The sequence below is a fragment of the Homo sapiens genome, chromosome 13, assembly GCF_000001405.40.
Source record: "Homo sapiens chromosome 13, GRCh38.p14 Primary Assembly".
Taxonomy (NCBI): domain Eukaryota; kingdom Metazoa; phylum Chordata; class Mammalia; order Primates; family Hominidae; genus Homo; species Homo sapiens.
In genome coordinates, this window is record NC_000013.11 from 110,364,164 (window position 1) to 110,391,323 (window position 27,160).

The 27,160-nt window shown below is 44.7% G+C and overlaps 1 protein-coding gene across 1 annotated transcript in view, besides 2 other annotated features; it reads left to right on the forward strand.

Moving 5' to 3' along the window:
* Positions 1 to 27,160, forward strand: part of COL4A2 (collagen type IV alpha 2 chain) — a 205,926-nt gene that overhangs the window by 56,880 nt on the left and 121,886 nt on the right. The window lies entirely within an intron of this gene.
* Positions 15,295 to 16,245: an enhancer, noted in NCBI's record as "NANOG-H3K27ac-H3K4me1 hESC enhancer chr13:111031805-111032755 (GRCh37/hg19 assembly coordinates)". NCBI's record gives its function as "activates a minimal SCP1, AML or CMV promoter by ChIP-STARR-seq in primed H9 embryonic stem cells {active_cell/tissue: H9 hESC(primed)}" and the evidence as "EXISTENCE:reporter gene assay evidence [ECO:0000049][PMID:30033119]".
* Positions 22,886 to 23,750: an enhancer, noted in NCBI's record as "H3K27ac-H3K4me1 hESC enhancer chr13:111039396-111040260 (GRCh37/hg19 assembly coordinates)". NCBI's record gives its function as "activates a minimal SCP1, AML or CMV promoter by ChIP-STARR-seq in naive and primed H9 embryonic stem cells {active_cell/tissue: H9 hESC(naive and primed)}" and the evidence as "EXISTENCE:reporter gene assay evidence [ECO:0000049][PMID:30033119]".

Consider the following 27,160-nt stretch of genomic DNA (forward strand, 5'->3'; position numbering starts at 1 on the left):
CAGAAAGGGCAAGGAATTAGTCAGAAATAGCAAAAACACCACCTGGCTTCCAGGCTTTTATAGCCCTGTCTACACATAGCTCTCACTCACTTTCAAAACCATGCAGTTATTTTTAGTGTGGCTTTGGAGCAAAGGTGGTCTGGCTCATCCAGCGCTGCAGGGGCTGTGGCAACTGGGTCCCGTGATTATTTTCTGTGGGTGAGCTCCAAACTGGCCCATTATCTATCAAATCCTCAATGGTGTTATAGTGGTTCTTTTGACATAAAATATTTATCATATGGGTGGGATGGCGAGTGGAGGAGGGGCCAGAAATTCGTAATTGCTTCTCTCTTTGTCAGCTGCATAATTAACTCAATTCTACCACAATTTATTAAAAGTCCCACTTCAAGAGAATGGTTAAATCTCGCTGGAAAGAAAGAGCCACATTATGCTCTGAAGCTCCAAGTTTCAGAAAATATTCTTTTTGTGAATATATAAGCCCAATAGGTCACCCATCTTGGTCTTACTTTCATGAAACCCTGACTTTATATTGTGCTTTCTTTTCATCTAGGATTTACTATCTAGAATAGTCTTACACATTTGCTATGAGTTTCCTGTCTCTCCACTCTCCCCAGATCCTCCCTCTACCCCTGGCTCCAAACTCAACGGAGATTGGATGTTCAGTATGGTAACTGCTAGGCACATGCAGCTATTTCAATTTCAGTTTTAATTAATTAAAATGAAATAAAATTTAAAATTCAGTTATCCTGTTCACTAGCCACACCTGAAGTACTCGCATAGCCACAACTCCAGAAGATGACTGCTCTGTTTACTTCTGTATTCCTGGGGCCTATGCAGGGCCTGACACATGGTGGATATATACTAAGTATTTGTTGAATGAATACATATTGTTTTTAAATTTTAGTAGCCAACTGTGGCTATGCATAATCCACTGCCTGTGTTAGGGGCCAAGTTTCCTGTTTTTCAAGGCATTTTCTCTCTTGCTTTTTTTTTTCGAGGCGGAGTTTCGCTCTTGTTGCCTGGGCTGGACCGCAGTGGCGCCACCTCGGGTCACTGCAACCTCCACCTCCTGGGTTCAAGTCATTCTCCTGCCTCAGCCTCCCGAGTAGCTGGGATTACAGGCATGCGCCACCACACCCTGCTAATTTTGTATTTTTAGTAGAGATGGGGTTTCTCCATGTTGGCCAGGATGGTCTCGAACTCCTGACCTCAGGTGATTCACCTGCCTCGGCCTCCCAAAGTGCTGGGATTACAGGTGTGAGCCACTGTTCCCGGCCTGGCATTTTCTTTAATTAGAACTAGATGTCTCATTGAATGGCGCACCAAAGTATGAACCTCGAGACTTTGTCACAAAGGGCTCTGTGACCTTGGGTAGGGCACATGACTTCTTTAAAGGAGTCTCCTGAGGGCTTCACACCTTGCTCAAATGGGCCTTCCAGAGCTTTGCACACCCCTCCCCCTACCCTTCTCTCTGAACCTGCCCTTTCTCCACGCAATGGCCTTGGCTCTCCAAGAGTCACCCTGGCCCCATTGCAGCCCCTGCTGCTGGGGCATCCTCCCCGGTTCATTGACTCCTTCCTTCTCTTACACCAGTGCCTTACATGCAGTTGCTGATAGAAAATACATATTTGAGCGTTGAAGGAATGTAAAACTCCATTGCTAAAACGAAGCTAGGGCCTTTCTTAGGATGGAGGACATGAAAGAAAATGCCACTTCCAAAGCTCCACACTCCATCAGATTGACAAGTTAGCTGGGATCAGATAATAATAGCCATTTCATGTCTTGATTAAAAACCTCACACAGACTCCACAGAACTGTTGATAAACTAGAGCAAAAGGAATTCACAGTTCCATTCTTCTTATAAACCAAACTAAAATGCTGACTTTCGAAATCCTTTTTTCCGACCTCCTGATGGAAAGTTTTGACAAGTGTAGCACTGAAGCATTTCCCCCTCTCTGCTAGAGGAGAAATGGCAATCTTCAAAGACCATTGTTTTGTTTTATTCGCTTCCAATTCATTCTTAGTAAACAATTGCAGGATTTCTAAAAAGACCAGACCATAGTAGTTACCAGACATGAGATGCTTTCTAAAAGCTACTTTGAATAGAAATGTTTTCTCTGAATCTGTCTTCCCTCATGCAGCAGGAAGAATGTCTGAAGCTATGCTACCTTCATATAGAAACAGCGTCCACAGTCAGTCTTCCCAGTTGGGTTTATCTCAGCGGTCCTTTAGAGGTGGTCTACACAAGACTCTAAATGTTCCTGCCTGTGAGCGGTCTTCTACTAGACTACTTCAATAATAAAGAGAAAACTACTAGATTGTTTTGCAAAGTTTTGAAATTACTGTTGTTGTTTTCTTCTGGAGACAGTAAAATAATAGCCAAGGGGAGAAAATGGCACAAATGATCAAACCAAGCAACCGTATGCACATTTTCCTCCCTGAGGGGCCTTTGAATTTGCCACCTAAATGCTGCATGCAGTGGGTACCCCAGGAAGGAGGAAATGGGGTCCCTTCATCTCTGCTTTATTTTGTCCATCATTAAATCAGAAGGACATGGTTAGTGTCCTTCATCTTCGAAGGGTGAAGATGGCTGCATACATTGTCTGTTACTATCATTGACATTAGGGTAAACATATAATAAATGTATTTTTAAATGAAACAGTCATTTCAAAATGTCCTTAGGAAGCTGGTCAACCTGAGGCCCTGAGCTGCCTGCACTTCTGAGCCCTCTGGCATCTCACCCAAATGAGTTCATTGTGGTGTAGACCACTGAAGCGCTCAAGGTGTCAGAGGTCTGACTCACCTGGGAAGCACAAAGCAGGCCTTCCAAAGGCCATATGTCCCCACTGATTAGAAAGATCAAAACACCCCTGTCCCTTTCCTCTCTGTGTCCAGCCTAGAGGTTTGCATTCTAGGAGAATGGCAGCAGCCAGACACCTCCCAGGAACCCAATGTAAGCCCTGTATCGATGGCAGCTTCCTGCGAAGCCACTGTGAGCGTGTGAAAAATCCCCACCGTAGGAACAAAAGTTTTTGTATCTAAAACACTGTTGGGGTGAATAACTCTTAGAGGTTTGGAACCAGAAATAAAGAAAAAGAACAAAATAAAATGGAAGTAATTAATGTTGGGTAAATAATATCTTTGGCCTAACAAGTTCTTGGCTCCATTGTCAGCATCCGTGTTTTCTATTAAATTGTTGTCTTTGTGAGGCATTATTACAGTTCTTCCCTCTTAAAGTCTGTTTTGAATAAAGAAACCGAAGGTTGGATGAATTCTATAGTTAGGTTGGTCTCTCTCTAATGAAGATTAAAGTTCTGGCATGTCTTAGCTCTGCATGGCAATAATTACTTTTAAAAAAATGCACTTAGGGTGGTGATTATGGCATTGTAAAAGTCTTATGAAAATGAGATGTATGTCAAGAGAACCTTACTATCAAAATCAGTTTTGTGCATTGCACCCATGCTTCGCATCTGTCAGCAAAAGCAGGCTTTCTCAGGTTTGGTGAAAGGAATATTGCCGTGGCCTTTGAGGACTGATGAGTTTCCACTAATTTAGAGCAAAATTAACAGAATCCTATGAGCCTGGAGGAAGCAGTTCACTTTTGTTTGTGTTGCTTTTAGCATACTGCTCATTTCAACCCTGCTTAGAGAAGTGGCAGATCTTATACCCTCAGGCAGCTGGGATATGCCAGCCACAGAGGGCAAGATCCATAATCTTTAACAGATTTTACTGTACACGTTCACAGCCCCAACCGGCCATACCATTGCAACCTAAAAGAAAGAGAGGATTGAATAAGCAGTCCAGAAAATTCAAGCAAAACTCTGAAACAGGAAGCCAGGCTTCCTGCACTTGAAGGCCTTGGGGTAAATTCCTCATCATTTAACACCTGAAATTTTGCAAATATTTGGACTTCTCTTCGAAGAATGATAGAATTATTGGTCTAGAACATCGACTAGTCTTCTCCCAGCCCCGTATTCAGGAAGGACAGAAGAATGCATTGGAGACTGATGAATATCCACTCTGTTCTAAGGACTCCAGGGAGAGAAATTGGATAGACTTTACTGGTAACTTAAGGAAAGACAAAAAGGCGTAGGTTTATATATATCCAGAGTAAAATTCACAAAGGCCTCAAGTCATTAAAGGTATTACATACTATTGCAAAAGAAAATAATCCAACTCCCAAAAGTTGAACTAAGAAAGTTCCTCTTCTTCCAAATAAGGTTTTACTTAGAGACTTTCAGTCCCACTTAAAACTTCAAAGCAATAAGCTTCATTTCACAGCTTCACTAAATGAAACCTAATGGTAGACATGCCTTTGACTAGACATAAAGTAAGCATTCTTTCTAGAGAAAATAAATAGAAAGAGAGGTTTCTTTCTATTTCCTTATCAGCTTCACCTCTTTCTTAGAAATGATTGCTCGTCTGGACAGCATTTGTCATGAGTTTGTTTTCACTTTAAAGCATGAAGGGGAGAGATGACCAGGGAGTGATACCCATCTGCTCATCTTCAAGGATTGCGTAGGAGTTGAGCTGTAGAGGTTTCACTGCAGAAAGCCAGTATTGTCAAGAAGCATCCTGAGAACATGTAATTAATCTCTACAAATGGTAGAATAGTTACATTAGTGCCATAATTTGTTATATTTAAGCTATTTTTCTAATTCACAATCAACTAAGGCCAAAGAAAAGGGGGGGGGGGGGTTGAGCTCAATAATAGCATTAGGATGTTTAATGTGAAATCCAAGAAGACTAAAATAATACAATTAGGCCAGGCGCGGTGGCTCGCACCTGTAATCCCAGCACTTTGGGAGGCCGAGGAGGGCGGATCACGAGGTCAAGAGATGGAGACCATCCTGGCCAACATGGTGAAACCAGGTCTCTACTAAAAATACAAAACAATTTAGCTGGGCGTGGTGGCACGCCACCTGTAGTCCCAGCTACTTGAGAGGTTGAGGCAGGAGAATCACTTGAACTCGGGAGTTGGAGGTTGCAGTGAGCCGAGATCACACCACTGCACTCCAGCCTGGTAATAGAGCGAGACTCTGTCTCAGTAAATAAATAAATAAATAAATAAAGCAATTAGAGTTACAGTATGGCTATTCAGGTTGACCATTCCTAATCCAAAAATCCAAAATCTGAAGGGCTCCAAAATCAGAACCCTTTTGAGCACCGACCTGGCACTCAAAGGTCATCTCGTTGGAGCATTTTGGATTTCAGATTTTTCAGTTTAGGGTTGCTCAACCAGTAAGTATGTGCAGATATTTGAAAATTCAAAAAACTCCCAAATCCAAAACACTTCTGGTCCCAAGCATGTCAGATAAGGAGCACTCACCCTCTGATGAGCTTCAATCATTGTGAGACCTTTAAAATCTAACACCATTAATAGAGAGCACTATTAACACTATGGACAAGTGGTTCTTCCAGCCAGAATGCCCATCGGTAGCACTCAACAGGTGGCACTATGGCATAGGCTATGGTTAATAAAACTGCAACAAAGGAAAATTTTAGCTTTAACACGTGCCGACTTCTCTGCAGCAATCCCACCCTTCCCGCCTCAGCTTACAAATACGCACTAACTCAGATACCTCAATGATACTCAGGTGACTCCAGCCAGCCTCACCCCAAAGCTCCCCATTGCACAGATGAGCCTTCTCTCCCATCATCCACCCACCAGCCCCCTGTCCAGCCCCACTTTCTTCAATTCATTGATCGCAGCACAGCATAGGGAAGAACATGATTTATTGAATCTTTTCCATCCTAAAGTATTAATTATCAATAGCTGCAATATACCCTGACTTCATAGGAAAACCTGCACCTCATTCTAATCACCTTGTTCTGAGCGTCTCACTTTCCTTCTTAGGTCTTGACCTTAAGATTTCAACTTTACTTTCTAGCCGCTGCCTGATCAACGTGGAGTGAAGTGAAATGATTTCCCCCTGTATTTGGAAGCTGTACTTCTAAAACTCTGTCCTAGAATCACATCACTCTCTTTTACCAACCAGATTATTGCATTGCATTGGCTCACTAGTAATGTATTTCTACCAAAAAAAAGAAAAAAAAAACAAGGGTTTTTTTTACTTTTGACAAGTTTTTTGTTTTGTTTTGTTTTGTTTTGTTTTTTGAGACAAAGTCTCACTCTGTCTCCCAGGCTGGAGTGCAATGTAGCAATCTCGACTCAATGCAACCTCCGTCTCCCGGGTTCAAGCAATTCTCCTGCCTCAGCCTCCCGAGTAGCTGGGAGCCCGCCACCATGTCCAGCTAATTTTTTGTATTTTTAGTAGAAACGGGGTTTCACTGTGTTGGCCAGGCTGGTCTTGAACTCCTGACCTCGTGGTCCGCCCACCTTGGCCTCCCAAAGTGCTGGGATTACAGGTGTGAGCCACCGTGCACAGCTTTGTATTTTGTTGTTGTTGTTGTGTTGTTGTTGTTTTTCTGCTTCTTCACTCTTGGATTTCCACTTGTGCAGTTAATTTTTGAACTTGATTCAGGATTTTGTTTTGATTCCTGTTAAATTGTGGAAAGGTGCAGCTACAGTTGCTGATGTGGAGATGGAGAAATTGAAGGTGTTCTTCTGCCCTTGATTTTCCTCTCTCCCTCTCTCCTACTTGTCTAATACTGATCTAATTCAGACATAGACAGTCCATGAAGATGGCTATTGACCAAAGAGGAGATTTCTAAATGCTAATTCCTACTAGTATTTTTGGGACTTTATTTTGAGGATAGCATGGATGAAAAGGGATAGCTATGCAGCCATCTGCATACCCTCAAGTTGAATAATCAGACTGAGGAAGTTAACAAAAAGAACTTTGTGGGTGGAAATGAACTCCTTAATTCCAGAAGATTAAAAAGACTTCTTTAGTAGAAGGAAATAAAGTTTAACAAAAAGGGTGCCCTTCAAAAATGTCAGTTATCTTGGAAGGAAAGATGAGTAATGGAAATCCCGGTTGATCACAAAGATGAATAAGATGCGTCCTTTAAAACTGGCATTTATGGAGGACAAGGGTTCTTCACCAGCACTCTGCATCCTTTCCTAGCAGCCGCTGACATAGTAAGAGAAGCCTCTGGAATTATCTTATTGCATAGAATTAGTTATTAATTATTCCTACAATTAAGATACTTATGATACAACAAAGAAGCTCAGGATCTTAAAGTGTACATGATGTGCGTTGTATGTGTGTGTGCATGTACCTAGACCTATTTACATTTATGTTCTGAAATTGTATACATCTTATATTTACCAAGTATTTATATATTTTCTGTATGCGTGTATTTCCAGGGGAATAACAATGTACTATCCTAGAAAATCTTTTCAACCTCCAGTGCTCAACATAGGATTTTAGTTATTTTTAGCACTTAATCTTATCTGAGAACTTAAAATGAAACCCAGTGTGTGTTTTTTTAATGTCCTGCAACTTTATTAGAAGACACTGTTGCTTTTTAAAATTTATCATGTTTTTATATCAAGCCTGTGCCAGATGTTCCTAAGTGTTTTGAACAATAGCTGGTTTTGAAACCATCAGGCGCTCTCCACGTAGCTCTGCTGTGAGCATCGATACTCCCTGCTCTCTGAGCATAGTGTAGGGCGGGCGGCGGGCCGTCTGGGATATGGGAAAGCCTGGGGCCTGGGCGCTGCAAAGACTGTTCTGCCTGGGGTCTGACGTTGGCCGTGCCGGGAGCTCATTGTCTTTCCGTCTCCCCCAGTTCTTATCCTACTGATCTCTATATGCTGTTGGCTTTGAGACAATAGGAACTCCAGAAATGAACAGACAGGGAATTGGCTCATGGAGGGGAAAGGAGGCAGGAGTGGGTGGACAAGGCCGGAACCACATTTGCACCCTGAGGAGCTGGGAGATTCCGCTCACCTCTCTCTCTCTCTGTAAGAATGCTACATCCCACTCAGGGGGTTTCCAATTGTCCTTACTCTAGTTGGCAGGAACTTAAAACATAACTGAAGCATGAACAACTGGGTATTTTGATGAATGATTGACAACATCCCATTGTCTTCAGAGCCCAGCACACCGGGCCGGTCATTCCACTGTTGAGGTGGTTCCTTGAGAGAGGGGGCAGAGGACCCTGTGCGGGGGTGGGATCAAGCACAAAGAGAAAACTTTCCCAAAACCCTTCAACAGACTTTTTTGTTTAAGAAAATAATAATGTTTCCGTCTCTGAACACCAAGTCAGGTGACCCGTTTTTCCTTCATGTGATTTGTGAGCTATTTCAGAACCTCGTAAGTCTCTCTGACAGGTCAGGAATGGGGAAATGAGAAGTGTCATCCTGTAGAGTTTCTCTTCTCTGGAATTTGTCTTGTGTTATTTTTTAATAAAAATAATCAGTGTTATGCTATTGTTTCAAATCTGGAGACATTTTACTCTTTGTGTATCATTGCCTTTCTTTTTTAATGTGTGTTATTTCTGGAAGGCAGGCAAGCTTTTTTCTTGTTTGTAAAGATCTCTTCTCCTGTTGCCAAGAGAGATAACCTGAAAAGACAGAAAATTGCCAACTTAAACTGTAGATATCATTCCATTGATTTATTTACAGAGCTTTAAATCTTATTTTGTGGCCACTACAGTGAAGCAAATATTATTTTAAAAGCTTCATATGAAATAATCATTAGTAGCTTGTTCCATTTTAAAAATTGCAGGTGTTTCCTATGCCTTTGGGCAGGTTTTGTTGTTTGTCTTTTGTTTGTGTGTCTAAATTTCCCATTGTCTGGGATGTGCACACTGCATGTCATGGAAGGTCATTGTTCTGGTTCACATGATTTTATTTCCAAACTGTGGTATAGGTTCTAATGTATGTTGGCTGCTGTGTAGCTGTGTACCCATTTCTTACTAGCCATGTGGTTTAGTGACTAAACAGTTTATTTCTTTATACATAATATTTCTCTGAGTTGGGATGTCTGTTACCTGTTTTCACAGTTTAAAAGGAAGCATAATGATTTAGTTGTAAGTTTTTTCTGCCAGCACTATGAATCATTTGGGGTGTCTGATCCACTTGAATAGCACATGTGGGCTGCAGAATATTCATATTGATGGAACAACCCAAACTTTAGGATTTCCATTCTACCTGCCACCCAACCAGTACCAACTGTGTTGTGAACGCATTTTTTAGGTAGGGAAATGATTTACAAATGTTAGCCTTCTTTACCTTCACAGAGTTGATATTTAATTGGACCATTAGTAGCAAGTACAAATCTTAAGAACGTTTTAAATCTTGCCTTCAGAGGGCATCTATGGTAGAGGGCTTTGGGTAGTGAAATATTTGACTACTTTTCTTAAAAAAGCAAAAATCAGAACAACTTATAGAACAGTCCTCCTGATGTGATCAGCTAAAAAGAAATTTGAAGCAGCCATTAGACTTAGGTAAAACTTAGGATTTAAGCAAAAAGCTGCTCTCTCCTGTCCTCATGTGTGGCTTATTCACACTCAGGGGTGTCTCCTGTGTTGAATAAAGTGGCCTCCAGCTACAGCCACTGCTTACACATGCTTGGTTGTGCACATGAGAGATAAATACCCAAGCCGCAGGGTGTGAGGACGTAGAAATCCAGGGCATCCCTAAAATTATATCAAACTCTGCCAAACTGCCTGAGAATCTATGACATCCTAATGCCTCCGTCCTCCAGCATCTGTGGAGTTGGCTCCTTTCCGCCTCTGTGTTTTCCTTATCCCTTGTTGAGTGTAAGTTAATCGGGCACATGCCAAGGGGCAGCATCCGTTTTCTTTTTACCCCCTTTTGGATGCTAAGGCTCTTCAAGGATATAATGCAGCCCTGTGCAGCCGTGGCCAGTTTTTGCACGGCCGCAGTAGAGACTTGGCACCCTGGAATATCTCCAGCAATTATCCAGCTTGAGAGTTTTCAACTGAACTGAAGTTTTATTAATGTTCATCATAATCGTGTCACGTCCAATTTTAGTACTTGGTATGAATTAGAGGAAAAAGGAGAAAACGATGGCCCGTTGGGTCAGCATGCATTGTCATGATACCCAGCATTGATTGACAGCTTACGGTGGTCCCGGGGCGATGGGAGCACTTTACATCCATTCACACTTCCTCCTTAGGGCAGCTCCGTGATGTAACCCACTTTTACAAGGAGGAAATTAATTGAAGAACAATGATGTGAGCTGCCCAAAATCACATCATTAGAGAGTTAAGGAACCAAACTCTGACCCGAGATCTGGAGCCAACACTTAACTTTCCCTGAGGGGCATCCTTTAAAATCTGGGTATGATGTTGCACCTTGAAACTCAGTTGTTCAAAATTATTCTTTCTTTCTCAACCTTTAACTTCCACATCAACTCTTTCTCTCCCTAAACAAAATCACTAAACCAAAGAAGCAAAAGTCTATAAGGCCACAGTTTTGTGAATTAAATATCCATCCTTTTCCCCATCTGTTTGCGTTTATCCTACTCTCTTTCCTCTTTTGGAAGCAGCTCTGTTCCAGGAACTGGCAAATCGATTTGGCTCTTTTTGCTTTCCTCTTTGCTCACAGGGAATCTCCTCTTTGAAAACCAGAAAGGTTCTCCAAATATAGCAAATGCTTTCCTCATCTCCATCCATCCTAGTTACCCCTCTCCTCCTCTCCTCCCACTCTCCTGCTCTGTCCCACTGCTCCACCCCTGACTCTGCTAACCTCATGCCGATTATACTTCTGTAGTTTCATTAAGTGGATAGTTTTCCCCTCTTCAGAAGCATTCCTGAGTCAAGAACACCCTGAATGCACTGGAAGTTGTTCAAGTCTTACCCTCTAAGTCAAGGTGAGATACTGTGTAGATCTGCCAATTAATCTCCTTAGAGGATTATTTAATCCTAAAAGAAATTCTTATAGCTCCTGGTTTTAAGCCCTTTCTTTACTGGGGCCCTTTTACTTTAGTCCTTATCTACTCCAATAAGGCACATAGAAGACATTCCTCACTATAAGATGTGTGGGGTTAGAGCTGTTGCCCAATTGGACTCTGAGATGCGATACTTCTCGCCATTCAGGTGTGAGGATGGCTCACCGGGTAAGCATCTTGACTTTGGCATCACATTCCAGCCCTTACACCTCTGTCCCAGCCCCTGGGTGAGCCATGTTCCCCTTTGCCGTCGAATTCTGCCTCTGAAAATGGAATCATAGTTACTGCCTCCAGCAGCTCCAATGTGGCGATGGTATTGAGAGATCAGCGCAGTGCCTGTCACAGTGCAGAGGCTCAACAGATGGTGGATACTACCACGTTTTCTCTTTCTGTGGAACTTCCGCAACAGTCATCCGCAAAATGACAGAAAATGCCAGTCAGTTGGGCATTGCAGGGACTGTTGGGTTTGTGGGCGAGCATCCCTGCAAATAGGGCTCCCATTAAAGTCTCATAAAGGAGGTATTTTGGACCTTGAGTCTTTTTAAATTTTTGACAGAGCCGGTGCAGTGTCTCATACCTGTAATCCCGGCACTTTGGGAGACCAAGGTGGGCAGATCACTTGTGGTCAGGAGTTCGAGACCAGCCTAGCCAACATGGCGAAACCTCTTCTCGACTGAAAATACAAAAATTAGCTTAGTGTTGTGACGCACACCTGTAATCCCAACTATTTGGGAGCTGAAGGCAGGAGAATCACTTGAACCCGGGAGTCGGAGGCTGCAGTGAGCCAAGATCACGCCGCTGCACTCCAGCCTGGATGACAGAGTGAGACTCTGTCTCAAAAAAAAAAAAATTGACAGAGAAAATCATCGTGATTATGCTACATCTTTATACAGGAGTGGTCCGTACAAGTTTTTATTCATTTAATTTTTCTTCTGTGCTGCAGAAGCATTTCCTGGGCTTTTGACATTCCCTGAGTAAATTAAGGCTTTGTCAGCCTCTGTTCTGATTTGGGTGATTTATACATCATTATGCAGAGTAAGCACCAGTAGAATCACAGTGTCTATTTCAGCTGAACAAAATTTTTGCTAAGGAAAGAACTATCTGACATTCACTGGCTTAGGGATATTTGGGGAGACACGATAGCTTGCAGTGCAGAGTGGCCTCCTGCTTGTTCATGACAGTACGAAATGCATTCCTAAATCTCTTATGTATCACTTCTGATCTGACTGAGAAGAACTAGGTAAGGTATAAGTAAGGAAATAGTCTCTTATCTCCACCCGCTTCACTGTTCCTGGCAGAGCAACAGTCTGGAACTGTGAGCGTCAGAAGGTCGGAGCCTGTTTTTATTGCAGTGACTCTTCTGGTTGCTGCTTGATATCACATGAGCCTCTGACCTGCTTAACTACATTTTAATCATCCTGCCTTGATTTGTATTCTTGGTAGATGAATTGTGATTCATTATTCCATAATCATTAGCCCCCCCACCCAAAAAAAAATCACTATTTTTCTGATAGTTTTGATGGTTTTAGCAAATTTTTATATTAGTTTTGGAAACTTTACTTTTTTATAAAAATCATCGTTTTTACATTACATATTTGTTTCATGTTGCAAATTATCGGAAGGAATGCCTCTCACGCTGTAATGTGCCTGCAAGCAGCCTGGGCCCCTTGGTAAAGCACAGATGCTAGTTCTGCAGGCCCAGGAGGGCCTGAAGTTCTGCAGTTGCCTCAAGCTCCCCAGTGACATGGTAGCTGCTGGCCCAGGGGCCCTACTTGTAATTCAAGGCCCCCGAGGACCTTCCTGAAACCCCCTTGGAGAGTCGAGGCCAGGCCGAGTGCAGCCTCAGGTGTTCTCCTGAGACTGACGCATCCTGCTTGCCTTGGTGAGGCCAGGTTATTAAGCAGATAGATAATTCATTGTGTGCCTAGAAGACATATCCTAAAAGTTATCTTTCTTGCTGAGATATGGAACTAGACCTGTCTTCACTCAGTGATCGTTGATCTTTAGAATGGCCAGTGTGGTTCATCTTATTAAGGGGAAAACTTTAATTTTACTTATTACGTTGAATGTCACTATGTTCAGTTATTGATTATCCCACCAGCTTAGACTTGGGTGGTGAGTGTCTTATACACCTGAAAGCTAGGGTGGGGGTGGGGAGACTTGCTTATACCACCATGCCAGCTGTAGCATTCTGCTCATGGTCACCAGAGTGCATTGTCAGATGTTTCTTGGTTAGGACATCTGCATTCTACATGCAACAGGTGCCATCTCTGCCCTTGCTTGGGGTCAGAGTGCTTTAATCCAGATGCAGTATTGGTTGCATCTGTCATTATCGGCTCATCTGCAGCTGTCCTTCCTGTGTGGTGAGCCTACCCCTCACTCCTGCCTGGTCACTCTCCTGACCCTCCAGTTTACTTTCTGGCTCTGGAGGTGCACTGAGCAAGGGCACACACTCTCCCTGTATCCATCTCCATCCCAGGACCCCGCACATCCCTGCAGCTGCTCCTGGGTGTGCCCACCCCACCCCCACTGGGATTTGAGCTCCCCTCAACTAATGGGCTTTCCATGGGGAATCAGGAGGGTGGGAATTGTGATTCCGTTAAAATCATTTGACTCAGGAAAAGCTTTTCGAAATAATCCCCAAGGACCAACTCTTTACAGAAACTCCTCCCCCGCCTTCATATTTTTGGCTTTGACTATGGGGAAATTCATTATGTTGAGCTAACCTTGGTGAAACAATACTAAAAATAGAGATAATAGAAAAACATGTTAAAGAAGGTAAAATCATCTGAATACGTACTTTATAAAATTCAGCCTAATACTTAATGGCTTTATTCAGACCTAATTTGAACATATCACAAGTATATTTCAACAGAACTTTCTTCTTCACAGAACTTTTCTGGAAAAAAAAGTATACTGTCAAAATGTTTCTCTTATTAGCAATCAAAACCCAGTTTGGAAAAGTGAGTGGTTTGCTCTGAAAAACAACAAACAGGGCTTGTGGGAATTCAACAGAAGAATAACCCACGGCTTGTAAGAATATTAAAACCACGGTCACATTTTACACAGTTTTGGCAAAAGGAATAGCCCAGGCGTCTCGAATCGAGATGTAATGTGAAATGAAGAATTTCAACAGGGCTCATTAGGCTTTTGTTCTATCTGAGCAGAGTTTTCTGCTTTCTTGGCTAAAATAAGATGCATGCAGCTTTAATTGTATCTCCCTTTATTCAAGGTCTTCACTGGCAACCTTAAGTATCAAGGATTTGCTGCTCAAATCATTTGTAAATAAAACTCAGATGTAAGGAAATACAGACAAGGGAGGACAAAAGTTTTGTCCAAAAAAATAGATATGGAACAAATTCAGAGAATTGTAGATATAGGAAGGACCTGATACACTAGCAAGTCTCCTTTCCCAGTTGAGGAAACTGAGGCCCTCCATGGTCCAGAGGTGCGCCTGCGGCCTCATGAGACAGAACCAGGCCCTTTCCTCCGGGTCCCTCGCCTCAGGAGATTCTCTGAGATGGAGAAAGATTCTGGAATTACAGCCAAATCAGGAGGCCTTTTAAGATTGATTTAGGAAGAGCTAAGAGAAAATACTAAATGGAGTTGTTTCCAAGAAACAGAAATAATCAGTGAAATTTCTTTTACAAGGAAATAATTGAAGCAAATGCCCTCTGCATGAAAAGTCGCATTAAAACCCACCCCAGTGGGCACTTCCTGAATGCAGTATTCCCTGCAGACAGCATTTGAACGATACTTAGGAAGCAAACCCTTCGAACCACTGGGAAGAATGTTCCCAGTCTGACCTAGACAGTCCTTAGACAAGGAATTCGGTCCCGCGGTGTATTTCCTTCTCCACAATGTGATCATGGTGGAGAGCTCCACATTGGTGTCGGTGGACACAGTCATGAATGGAAGCTGCTTCATATGAGGCAGAGCCTCCGTGTCCCACCTCACGCACTCTCCGGCTCCTGTAAAGGGGAGATCATGGAGCCGGGGGCATTTGGGCCCCGTTTGTAGTCTTGCCTGGCCCTGACCCATCAGCACCTGCCTAGTTCCGCAGGCACGGAGAAGACTGCACCTTCTGCTCTTAGGTGGCTGCACCAGGGCTTCTTGAAAAGGGGCAGCTTCCTCTCAGGGACATCAGACAAAATCTGAAGGCACTTTTGGTTGTCATACTGTGGAGAGGGTGTTTCTGGCATCTGGTGGGGCACAGGGACGCTGCTACACATCCTATATGCACAGGACAGCCCCGTGAAGAAGAATTATCTGGTGCAGATTATCTGAAGTGCTGAAGGTGGGAGACCCTGGGCTAGAGCAGTGCTCAGCACCCTAAGCTAAGAGGCGAGTACGCGTGCAGGTGCACCCGAGGGAAAGCCTTGCCCTCAGAAAGCCCCTGCAAAATTCCTTGGCATGACCTTCCATCTTGCAGCTCATTTCTTTCATGTACTCAGCAAATACCTGAGTTCCTACTGTGTGTCAGGCTCTGTGTATACCTCAAATTGAGGAGCCAGGGGCGCCGGGCAGCAGTGGGGCTCACAGACTTTTGGCTGCAGCAGAAGCTGCAAGGCTCCTCCCTTCTCATGCACCCCCAAATCCAACTCTGGAGGTGCCGTGTCAGGCGGGTGCACAGACCATGGAGCTGGGGTGCTGGGGTCGGAGTACTCCCCATGGACCCCCATTCGGAAGTGCGGGCTGCTGGGCACATTAGTTAATCTCTTGGCACCACCGTGTTTTATCTCTAAAATGGCAGTGTTGATGAGCCCCCCACTCCCTAGGTGGCTATGCCTGTGCACCCCTAACACATGAGAGCCACGTTAGGATGGTGTCTGGGTCCCTTGTCATTATTTGGGAGGTGCAGCTGAGCTTCCTGGTAGAAGGACTTACTTAGCAACCCGCTCCGCCTTGGAAAGCTGACCCTCCTCCACCTGCCTCCTCTCCTCCACCTTCTCCAGCCCCTCTGTGTCACCAGGCAGCTCTCTCCCGTGTCCCAGTGAGCCCTCCGCAGGCCAGCCTTCCCTTGCAATGGCCTGTGTTGCCAGCTAGTCCTGTTCTGAGAGGATCTGCTCCACTCAAACCGTCCCCACACCTTCCATGTTTGAGCAAAGCATCTGTGGATTGCAGATGAAAAGAAACTTCACCAAAGAGCACATTAGTCATGGCCTCAACCCAGCTGGGAGTGATTTGCATTTGATAACAGCTTTTTAACCCCCAGGAGCCTCTTAAGAGGTGGGTCTTGAAGGAAGTCTTCTGAGAGGCTTTTCTTCTGAGGGGAGGGTCGAACAGAGAATTTTATTTAGACTTTTCTCCCACCAGCATGGACATGAGTTATCAGTATTGTTTATGATTTTATAGAGGAGATTTTCACAAGAGGAACTTTTCCTGTGCCTTTGCCTAATGCATAGTAACTATAAGTCACTTGTTTATACAGCTTTAATGTGTTAACTGTTAAAATTTAAATATTAATATTTTAAATAAGTCTCTATTTGTATACGTGCTGACTCATCGGATTCTCACACTCACTTAGAGATAAGATGGTTTTCTATGCACACACTCACATTAGAAGAATGTAGGGATTTTTTCCATCAATATTCGGGCAAGAGGGCACTAGGAGGCTCATCGAACACCCACAGGGCTCTACGTCACACCCACAAGCTCTATCTCACACCCACGGGCTCTATTTCACACCCATGAGCTCTATGTCACACCCACAAGCTCTATCTCACACCCACGTGCTCTATCTCATACCCACGTGCTCTGTCTCACACCCATGGGCTCTGTGTCACACCCACGGGCTCTATGTCACACCCATGGGCTCTAACTCACACCCACGTGCTCTATCTCACAACCACAGAGCTCTATCTCACACCCACGGGCTCTGTCTCACACCCACGAGCTCTATGTCACACCCACATGCTCTATCTCACAACCACAGGCTCTATCTCACACCCATGGGCTCTATCTCACACCCACGGGCTCTATGTCACACCCACAGGCTCTATGTCACAACCACAGGCTCTATCTCACACCCACGGGCTCTGTCTCACACCTACGGGCTCTGTCTCACACCCACGGGCTCTATCTCACACCCATGGGTCTCTATCTCACACCCACGGGCTCTATGTCACAACCAGAGGCTCTATCTCACACCCATGGGCTCTATCTCACATCCACGGGCTCTATCTCACATCCTCGGTCTCTATCTCATACCCACAGGTTCTATCTCACACCCATGGACTCTGTCTCACACCCATGGGCTCTATCTCACACCCACGGACTCTATCTCACGCCCACCGGCTCTATGTCACACCCACCGGCTCTATCTCACACCCACGGGGCTCTCACGCCCAGCACTCTGGCGTCCCCTTTCCTTGACATCCGCCTGCTCCTCTACCGTAGCCAGATTTCTTTAGGAAAAAAATGATTCTTTAAAAATCTAAAATACTGTAAATCCTATTGGGAAATAACAGTTATTAAACCTCTTCATCAGGAGCCACCAGATATCAACTTAGGCTGTGCATCTTTCTGCCAGGTGGGTCCTTATGACCCTATTAGTGACTGTCTCGCACAACTGGAGATACCAGTGAACACGTGATTGAACTCTCAGCCTCAAGGACAGGTCAGAAAAGGAGCCTCAGGTCAACAATGTGTTCTCGACCTGCTTGAATTTGCATCTGGGAATCCTCCTGTTAGTAGAAAGGTTGACCCTGGACGCAGTCTGGGATTGAATCTGCCTCACTCCTTTTTCACTCCCTTTCAGAAACAAATGAAAGGAAGTGTGTAAACCACACAGCCAAGCACCCAACGCATCATCATCTTCATATCATCGTTATTATTAGTCTAAAATGGTGGTGGTGATGATAACCCCACTCCCTAGGTCTCAGTACCCATACTGAGATTTTATGCTCTCCCTTTTTCTGCTGGATTTCATTTTTTCTCTAGAAGCTTGATGCTATGCCTTGATTATTACTTATTTCAATGGGACAAATTTGCACTAGAACTACAGTATTTGTTATCACTGAATTTTTCACGGTTGCCATATATATATCCAGCATCATTTGTGTCCTACTGCTGTTGAACAACTACTTTAAGATCAGAAAATAGAAGTAGTTTAGCCAGTCTAAAAGGATTTCCATTCATCGAATCATAAATAGAGAAAAAAACAATCCCTTCTATCCATTACTAAACCTCTCCATTCCAAATGTCTTCAAACAAAGCAATTATGGTGGACAAGTATTTGAGGACAGTTTTTTCTCATAAACAGCTGCATAGTGCTATAGCATCCTTGTTGATTAGCCAATTAGAATAAATTCTTTCCACAGCACATTTTAAAAGACTTAGGGGAAAAAACAAGACTTGCAAGACTTGAAGTTTTCATAGAACAATGTGCACCCGTCTTCCGCCCACTTCCCCAGAGAGAAATATATGAATCACATAGCAGTAAATGAGTAAAGTATCAAAACAGGTGCTGGAGACTAGGGAGCATGAATCATCTTCTTCCTTAGATACTTTGTAAATAAAACAGGATGTATTTATGGTAACTCTGTGCGTAAACTTCTATTTACAATGAATTATATAAAATAAATACAATGTCACACAAAGTAAATAAAATTGAAGAATCTATTAAATATCACTTTAACAATTATATTAAATTGTTTCCTTAAATTGATCCAATTTTGAAAGAGGAATTTGAATAGGAGAGATCAACAACAACAAAAATTCCTCCTGTATTCAAACTTTAAGGAACGCTAGCTATCTATTTTAATGAGTGAATAACTTATTTCCCAAACCACATTTTAAGAAAGTCAAAAATAGTTGCATCACATTTTTCCTATTGAAAATATACACTTTGAATAACAGAAAAATAATCCGCAGATAATTTTTTAAAGATTTTTACTCAGCTTAGTGGTAATAGATTTCTGTTTATATTAACCTTAAGAAAGAGTGTTCAGAATGGAGTTTGGCCATTTCATTATGAGTTATGGATATTATTGTATAAAACATGTACACAAAATTCCACTGATGATTTTATCTAATTTCAACCATAAGATTCTGACAGAGAATCAACTCAACTAGCTCTTTTAAGCATCACTTTTAATGTACCACATTTTTTAAGTGACTCTTGTTTATTTTTTTAATGTTTGCTCAAACTTATGGGGATAGTGCCATGTTCTGCGTATCCACGCTAGGATGTGGCCTTTTTGAGCCATGGAAGATGCTGTCAGAACAGGGTCCGGAAAAAACAAATAGGACACTCGTTATTTTCTTGTTGATTTGATTAGCCATATGTACCATTTACAATACTCTTGGGGGACAAAAGGAAGAGAGGGAAAAAACAATTGTATCTGAATATTGCAAGCTAATCTTTTATAAATTTTACCCTTTAAGGGTTGATGGATTCAGAAATTAATCAACTGTATTTTTATCTGATAAATGCTAATACTGTACTGCAGTGCAGTTGTGGTTTTGAGAGTTACATTCATAGGTTTATGTCAGATCAAGAATAGATTTTGTTGGGGGGTGATTTTTAGATTGTAGGAGGTTTTATACACATAATAAACCAAGATGCTAACAGGAGGATGCAATCAGTGGTTATTTTGTGTCAGCCCTTTTCTTTTTTTTTTTTTTTTTTTTTTTTTTTCTGAGACAGTCTCGCTCTGTCACCCAGGTTTGAGTGCAGTGGCACGATCTCAGCTCACTGCAACCTCTACCTCCCGGGTTCAAGCGATTCTCGTGCCTCAGCCTCCTGAGTAGCTGGGATTACAGGCGCATGCCACCACACCAAACTAATTATATTTTTAGTAGAGATGAGTTTCAGCCTGTTGGCTAGGCTGGTCTCGAACGCCTGGTCTCAAGCTATCTGACCACCTCGGCCTCCCGAAGTGTTGACATTACAGGCATGAGCCACTGCGCCTGGCTGTGTCAGCCCTTTTCAAGCTGCAGCAACACTCACACTGATGCACTTGGCCACTGAGAGGTGAGCCATTGGCAGATGATGTACAGAGGATGGAAGAAGGACTGCTGTGCAGGCGGTAAATGGCATCTGCCAGACTGCACAGATGAAGGTTCCTACCCTGTTCACTGCCGCATACAGGAAATATGATCAAAAGAGTGGTAGTGTGTTTAGACTTGTGGCTCACTCTGTGTGAGAAGGAAAATTAAATACCAAAGCCATCTATAAAGTAGCAAAATTGCCCTAAAAGCTGCAAATTAGGTCGTAATCATACATCAATGACAGAGAAGTACATGGAAGACCTGGAAGGATATTCTAGAAATAGCTACCATCTTGATGGTTCATCTCTTCTTAATTACTTAAGGGAATTTCGACACCTTATTAAAACAGAGGAAGTCCAAGGTGAACTCTAAAACCCTCCTTAAGTATCCAATTCTATGATTCGGTGTGAAGCATTATCACACTTGTCCCAAGGGAACTTAACCAGTAATTTCAACGCTTCAGTGGGGAGTCACACGTCAGATGGACTCTTGCGGGCCATGCTCTCAGGTAGTGGCTTGAGTCCCCCTGCTCCTCCAACAAGGCCACCGTCCAGCTATTAATATTACTCCCAATTCCCTGGACTTGCTATGTCCTCTGGCGTGTGGAGTGCCTGGCTGCCGCCTTCATTCTCTATCTGACTGTCTCCTGCTCATGCTCAAAGCCCACACCCAATGTCACCTTCTGGGGGACGCTGGTCCCAAACACCTGCCTTCCCAAGCCAAGTCACAGCTGAGCCCTGTGTCCTTAGCACCCTCCAAAGCCACTGTCTTCCCTCTCCATCCCCCAGTGGACTGCGAGCTTCTGGAGGATGCTCCTTCCCTGGCATAGAGCAGACATGTAGCAGCACTTAGTGAGGAAGGCTGAGGCAAGCTCTGTGGTCCAGTTTCCCTGCAAATAGGGGTTTAGAAGGAGCTGAGAAAAGAGGAGATGAGGGTACACTGTAGGGAAGAAGTGATATTCACAACTGACAGCAAGGAACAAAAAAGTTAAACAGAGGCCGGGCGCGGTGGCTCACGCCTGTAATCCTAGCACTTTGGGAGGCTGAGGCAGGCGGATCACGAGGTCAGGAGATCGAGACCGTCTTGGCTAACACGGTAAAACACTGTCTACTAAAAATAGAAAAAATTAGCCAGGCGCAGTGGCGGGTGCCTGTAGTCCCAGCCACTTGGGAGGCTGAGGCAGAAGAATGGCGTGAATCCGGGAGGTGGAGCTTGCAGTGAGCCAAGATCACACCACTGCACTCCAGCCTGGGCAACAGAGTGAGACTCCGTCTGAAAAAAAAAAAAAGTTAAACACAAAAACCACAGTATGAACTAAAAGGGCTTAGAAATCTGAGGCTGTTCCCATGAAGAAAATCCTCATCCTGGACTTCTGTGTCTGCTAAGGGAGGCACAGTGATTATGATAGTTGGAGGTTACAGTGTGTGGATAGACTGTGGTTACAGTGCCTGGATAGACCGTGGCTGCAGTGTGTGGATAGGCCGTGGTTACAGTGTGTGGATAGGCCGTGGTTACAGTGTGTGGATAGGCCGTGGTTACAGTGCGTGGATAGGCCGTGGTTGCAGTGTGTGGATAGACCGTGGCTGCAGTGTGTGGATAGGCCGTGGTTACAGTGTGTGGATAGGCCGTGGCTACAGTGTGTGGATAGGCCGTGGCTACAGTGTGTGGATAGACCGTGGCTGCAGTGTGTGGATAGGCCGTGGTTACAGTGTGTGGATAGGCCGTGGTTACAGTGTGTGGATAGGCCGTGGTTGCAGTGCGTGGATAGGCCGTGGTTGCAGTGCGTGGATAGGCCGTGGTTGCAGTGTGTGGATAGGCCGTGGTTACAGTGTGTGGATAGGCCGTGGTTACAGTGTGTGGATAGGCCGTGGTTGCAGCGTGTGGATGGGCCGTGGTTACAGCGTGTGGATAGGCCGTGGTTACAGCGTGTGGATGGGCCGTGGTTACAGCGTGTGGATGGGCCGTGGTCACAGCGTGTGGATGGGCCGTGGTCACAGCGTGTGGATGGGCCGTGGTCACAGCGTGTGGATGGGCCGTGGTTACAGTGTGTGGATAGACCGTGGTTACGTTTTGTGGATAAAGCATGGTTACAGTGTTTAGATAAACCATGGTTACAGCATGTGGATAGGCCATGGCTACAGCATATGGATAGACTGTGGTTGCAGTTATGGGTAGACCGTGGTTACATTGTGTGACTAGATTGTCGTTGCAGTTGCGGATACACTGGTTAAAGTGTGTAGAGTGTTGAGAAACGCTAAGTAGCTTTCAGCCTCCCTGACTGCACCGAGCAACCTTTGGTGTAAAAAATCCTCCAAGGTTTTCGGACACATGCTCAAGTTACAGAACAAAACAACTGCAGGATTCACTTTGTAAGAAGAGAGACTCAGGTGTGTTTCTTGTGTAAGCCACAGTGCTGGAAAAGTAGGATGGCTCCTGGGGATCACCAACCCCACTCCAATCTCAGCCATCATTTCTAGCCATGCAATTGGGTGTATCCCTTAGTATCTTTGATCCCTCCTTGTCTGTAAAAAATGGAAATGAAAATACTCATAGGTTTTATGTGGAGTTTATAAGGCAACTAGTGCACCATATGGAGTGGAGAAGTGCTATTGCTATTATAATTGTGTAATAGTATGTAATACATTGATATGTAATATATTAATATGCAATTATAATAATAATAGCATTGTTATTATTTCTCCACTTTGGCCCACAAACCTGAATTCAGCCACTTCTATGTAGAGAGTACTCAGATAAAAAAGAAAAGTGAGATGCTTACGCTCTAGAAGACCATGATGTGGGACAGAGACGGAAGCATGGGATCTTCTACTGATTGTGAAAGGACGTGCGAAACCCAGGCTGCTGGCCATCCCCATGAAGGGCTGCTAGAAGGGTCTACTGAAAATGGCCCACAGTTGGGTGCTAAATGAGGAAACATTATCCAGAAAACTCACTTAAATGGAGCGACTGAGGCCGGGCACGGTGGCTCATACCTGTAATCCCATTACTTTGGGAGGCCGAGGCGGGTGAATTACGAGGTCAGGAGTTCAAGACCAGCCTGGCCAACATGGTGAAACCCCGTCTCTACTAAAAATACAAAAAGTTAGCTGGCCGTGGTGGCGGGCGCCTGTTATCCCAGCTACTCAGGAGGCTAAGGCAAGAGAATCATTTGAACCCGGGAGGTGGAGGTTGCAGTGAGCCGAAATCGCACCACTGCACTCCAGCCCAGGAGACAGAGTTAGACTCCATCTCAAATAAGTAATAATAATAAAAAAAAGGAGCGACTGATACCCACATATACCAGGTGCATTAGCACAATCACTATTTCCAAAGGCTGGAAGGAAATAGCCTTGCCGAGGGCCAGACCCTGAGCTGCTGGAGGCCTTGAGAATGGCATCTCACGTCCCCACGGAGAGAATTGTGATGCCCGGACATCACGGGCGCTTCCATGTGGGTGTTTCCGTGGCCAGAGGGATTCTGAAATGTGTAGGGACAAGGACCCATTCCAGGGAAGCCAAGTGTCGGCCGCATTCACCACCCGTCCCCTGCAGTCTCACACCTGCCCGAGGAGGCAGCCCAGCAGTCGGGGGCCCCGAGCTGGGGAGGAACGCAGGCGGCTGCAGCCCCGAGGGAGCCCTGCGCTTGTTTCTAAGAATAGGTGGCTTCCGGGATCTGGAGTTCGGTTTTTCTAAATACACCTCAGCCCGGAGACTCGGAGGCAGGCAATGGGGCCAAGTAGGCAGCCTTGGGAGTGACATCACGGTTTCCTCTTTTAAGGCGATTCTGAGGCTTCCTTCTCCCCAGGCCCCTCCCGCCCAGCTGCTGCAGCTGCTCAGAGCCACCTCGGCCTCCACCTCTGCGGAGCTCTGACCTGCCCTGGCTTGGCTGTGCCTGGGTTTGGGACAGTTCGGTGTGTGTTAAAGAAGCAGAGCTTTAACTGCGTTGAGGGTGTGTTTTCCCTCCTGCCTGCTCTTCTTACCTGCAGTCCAAACACGTGTGCCTCGGTTGTTTCTAAAGCTTCCCCGTGGACTGCATGACTGAAAATGGACTAAATGATGATTATGTTAAGAAGACTTGACAGTGCCACCTTTAGAGGGAAACGCCAAAAGTGGCCCAGAAGGCTGAGGGACAGGGGCCTATGTAAGCTTCACGGGAACAGAATTCCTAAGCTGTAAGGTAACATTTCTATGCAATATGAAACCTGAGAACAAGGCTTAATAACAGCCCCTCCAGGACGGCGGCAAGCGAGCCCTCAAGCGCAGTCTGCATTTCCCCAGCCGCAGCCAGGCAGCTGCCGGCACCTTGGGAGGCACTGGGAGCACGCTGGTGACTTCTCTTGGCCAGTAGGTGTGGGCGTGGCTCGGTGCTCCAGACACTACTTGAAAAGGGAAGGTTTCTGGGACTCCTGGCACCGCGGCCTCTCCTCTGCCCAAATTTCAAGATTTATTTTTACTCGTTGAACGAAAAAGAGAATGAGCCCTGTACTCTGTCATGCTCCAAACTGCTGCCCCATTTTTAGACCACAGAGCAAGATGAATGCTGTTGGAAGGAATGTGTTTATGAGAGAGACAGTTTTTAATCCATCAGAGAGCAATACTTGCGACTTTAAATATGGCATATGGTGAAAAAGTGTCCCTGTGATGAGTCAGCAAAAAAAATTATTTCACCCCTCACATATACGAGGGTTTGATTAGCTCACTGATTGCAGTTTTACTAGTGTGCAGCACAGACTCAAATTTAAATATAGCTTGAGGGAAAACTCTGACATCAGAATTTGTGCATGATAAACTGTGTTGCTCAAACTTCAAAGGTCTGGTCTCCACTGCTTCCGGGACCTCCCCCTGCCTCCCAGGGGACAGATTCCTCGTGTGATCCCACAGGCCAGCTGCTTCAAAGCTGTGTCTTTCCTTGGGCCCCTTCTGACCCATTGGCTCCCCTGTCTCCACTCCTCACGGTCTGCCCTCACCCTCTGTGATCATGGCTGTGGCCCTGCGATCTCCATCCTGTCTCCTTGTGACAGATTTTCCACCTCACCCTTTCTTTAAGCAGCTGACACTCAGACCCATCCTTCCTTTGTGTCTGATGTCTTTGGTTGGGTTTATAAAGGCAAGACACTTCTCCCAACCCATGCAGGACGTCCTCACAGATCAGCTTCTTCAAGGAGACCTAGCCCAGCCCGTGAATGAGTGGTGGCAGCGCTGGCAGCATGAGAACAGGAGTTGAAACCTGCTCTCACCCCGGCCAAAGATCACATCGCTTCCCTTTCCTATAAAGTAGTGCATCATGTGGAGGACATTTCGTGTCTGTAAAGTACCATCACCCTTTTCTATAAAGTAGTGCATCATGTGGAGGACATTTCGTATCTGTAAAGCACCATCACCCTTCTCCCTAATCTGTGCATGTGTGTATCTGTAGAAGTGTGCGTGTGCGAGAATCCACCCTTCATGATTTAATTGAAATCACAGAGCAGTGATCAGCAGCAGCGAAGATGACCCTCACAGCTGGGGAGCCCATGCTTGATGTGGTCAGCATTGCCTCCCTGCAGGAGGGCCCGGCTCAGGGAGTCCTTCTCAGACCCCTCTGTCTTCCCTATGGTCTATTAATCTCCCCATGCAAGGGAAGATGATGGACATCAAATCGACTGTAGGCTGTGCTCCTCTGTGCACTCTCACGAGCACTAACACCTCCCAGCATGATTCTCCAGGACTGCGGCTCCAAGAGGAAAGCTGGCCCCAGAAGCAGGCTGCTGTTCAGGGCCTCCTTGCCTGGTCCAGTCCTTGCTTAGGTGAACTCCAGCTGACCAAGATAAGCATTCACTGCATTTGGTTTAAGCAGCCTTTCGTGTTTATTGTGTTAGTGGGTGCTTTTCTTTCTAAAGCAAAAAAAAAAAAAGTTTAAAAATTTTTAAAACTACCCTACTTCTTTTATGACTTTTACTCCCTTCTCAAAAATATCAGTGTTTCCTAAGTTCGATAATAGCATTTGACCAAGTATAGTACACACTTGATGAAATTAACTCAGTTTTATTAAATGCCTATTTTATTGGCATGGGATGATTTAAGATGAAGACTCTCAGTGTTAACGGCCTCAATTCATTTATTCAAAAAGCATGTATTGAGCCTGCTCTGGGTGCCAGCTACTATGCTAGGTGCAAGGATGTAAATATTCGTAAGACACAATCACCCCACTCAGGATTTTTTGCTGTCTACTTTTATTGTCCTGTGAAGAGGAAAGTTTGGAGAGACCCACTCCCCTCCAAAGTGGGTTTCTAGGTCATGTCCCATCACAGGAGGACCAGGGCTCTTGAGCTCGTTGGGAATTCCAGGAAGACTTCCATGGAAGGTGGCTGGAGTCTCTGTCTCCACAGATTCCCAAAGGTCACGCAGTGACCCTGCACAGGGAGCCTTGAAACCTTTGCAGTTGGAGCCAGAGGGACTCCACACACCTTCTAGCCCAGCGCTGGGAGTCTGTGGGTGGGACCCCGAGTGGTGATGTGTTGCACTCAACGCCATGCCATGGGTGAGGAGCAGAACCTGGTCCACACTCACTCTGGTAAACTGACACCCCATTAAACCATGTTTTAAAACTTGTGTATTGGGAACTTCACTGAACTCAGCAGTAGTTATTCCATAGGGCAGCTGGAAACCATTCTTTAGGGACTGGAAAGTCCATTCTCATGCCCTTTGACTTCCTTGATGTTAATTCTAAATGACACATTCTCAGGATGTTTTCCCCAGAGGAATCCTATATGGCAGGGCTGTGTACAGGCCTGAGAAGCGACAGGGCAGCCTGCGGTTACACTTGACTGAGTAATCCGCTTGTTTAGGGCTGTGGCCGATGAGTCCCTGTTCCCATGGTATCCTAAACGTTTGCAGTTATTACCAAATCTGAATTCAACCCTCATCTTTTATATTGAAATTCCTTTTTTAAAAAGACATATGTCAAGTGGAAGCTATTTCATTTGTATCTGACACTATCTTTTCAAACTGTTTATCCAATCATTTGGGTCCCAAGTGAATTACGAATTCATCAACTTAAGGAAGAAACTTGGAGGTTAAGACTTCTTTTTACGATACTCCCTCATTCATGAAAAAATGCGTTTATTTTTAGTAGTGCTTTGGATTCTGTGTTTTGTTTGTTCTTTGGTTTTGTTTCTAGAAGAGTCTTGTTGGAAGCTCTGTTTCCAGAATGCTGGATTGGCTGTGGTGGGGTCCATAACCCACTGCCTGTATCAAACTCATACTTCAAGAAAATATTAAATAGTTGCAGTATCTACAGGGCCTCTACAGAGCCCCTTCTGCTATTAGCAGGGATGTGACTTTAGGTCACAAAAGAAC